Below are 1,568 nucleotides of genomic sequence, written 5' to 3'. Positions count from 1 at the left end.
TTATGTACCCCATAAATATGTACAATTATTATACATTAATTTAAAATGAAGTAATTAAAATATTTTTTTAAAAAAATGATTTTTAAATGACCCAAATTTCAATCTACAGTAAGTTAATGTTGACGATGGTAATAAAATTTTTCGATTTTTGCTAGCTATTTTGTAGCTGATAAGCTGAGAAACAATATTGATGAGTACATTTTTATTTTCATGTGACTTCTAAAAAAGCATAAATAATAATAATCGTTCCATATGACTGCATTGTGAAATAAAAACAGTCAATGCTTTCATCAATAAAGCCTGTTAAACTGGAAGATATTTAGAAAGATGACAGTATCAATGATAAATTGCTAATTACATTTTTCAAGTTTTAAACAGAGTATGTATAAAAATAATTTGGATAATATGATTCTGAACTTTTTATTCTAAAATAAAAATAAATGCTATATAGTTGATTCATTTTGCATGATATACATTTGTGAAGTATTAATTTTGTCACTGATTTCTATTAAACAATTTTGTAAATTATCATTTGACCGAATTTAGGGAAGGTTTGTTTTTCTCTTGTTTTAACATAGTATGCAGTTTAAGATGGGGAAATGACTAAGCATTTCCCTTTTAGTTTTAGTAAGGTTTCTGGCCAACATCCTATCTAAAAGAGGACTCTAGAGCATAGCATGCCTTCCATTCCAGAATAATTTCTTGTTCTAATCTAAATTTCCTAATTTCATCCACATGGTTTCCTCCATTTTATGAAGTCAAATTAAGAAGTGGAAGACTGATCTGAAATCCATTTATTTGCTCAAAGTCTGTGCAGTGTGCCAAGTATTGAACAGAATCCTTCAGAAGTTTCAGATCAACACCAGGCTATTGCACATCTCCTCATCCTTGTTTGTAAGGCTGTGTTACAAAGAACAGTCTGAACTCTGTTCAAAAACCAGCAGAGTGTCTGGGACCAAGGAATGAGTAGGCCCAGAATAAACAGATCCAGAGATTGCAAAGAATACTAAAAACAAACAGGCATTGTGAACACTGCAATCAATTACTCAGGGCTGTTCATTTCCATCACACTAAGCAATCACAACACACTATTTAGGGCTCTTCACTGAAGAATAAGCTTATTTGCTTAAGAACAGACAACACTATACCATACCTGTCAATTAGCCACTCAGTTAATGACCTGTGACACTTTGGGAACAAGAAAATACTTACTTCTTTCTAACGACTGGTTGCTTTATTTTTGGTAAAACAAATGCATTTTTCATGTTGCTGTAAAGATAAATCAGGAAATTTCTTGAATACATGGCTTTCTTAATACGAGAATACTAGGCTTCAGAAAGGTTTTCTAAATTTAATTGAAAAAAACCCTCTATTTTGATACCTGGTAATATGCTCTCTGAAATATAGTGTAAATCCAACATATAGAAGTGAAAAAAGAAAACAAAGAAATGAGATTATGGGTTAGGGAACACAGGCCAAATTGTAGAGTGTCTAAAAAAGAAAAAAAATGTTGTAACTAAGTTTGTCAATGTTATACCCTGGTTTATGCTGCTATTTTTATTCAGCCA

General features: G+C 31.0%; 1 annotated feature.

Moving 5' to 3' along the window:
• Positions 816-1,357: an enhancer, noted in NCBI's record as "NANOG hESC enhancer chr7:85260046-85260587 (GRCh37/hg19 assembly coordinates)". NCBI's record gives its function as "activates a minimal SCP1, AML or CMV promoter by ChIP-STARR-seq in primed H9 embryonic stem cells {active_cell/tissue: H9 hESC(primed)}" and the evidence as "EXISTENCE:reporter gene assay evidence [ECO:0000049][PMID:30033119]".

The sequence above is a fragment of the Homo sapiens genome, chromosome 7, assembly GCF_000001405.40.
Source record: "Homo sapiens chromosome 7, GRCh38.p14 Primary Assembly".
Taxonomy (NCBI): domain Eukaryota; kingdom Metazoa; phylum Chordata; class Mammalia; order Primates; family Hominidae; genus Homo; species Homo sapiens.
Note: the sequence above shows the minus strand (reverse complement) of the source record. Positions and strands in the feature narration are given on the sequence as shown.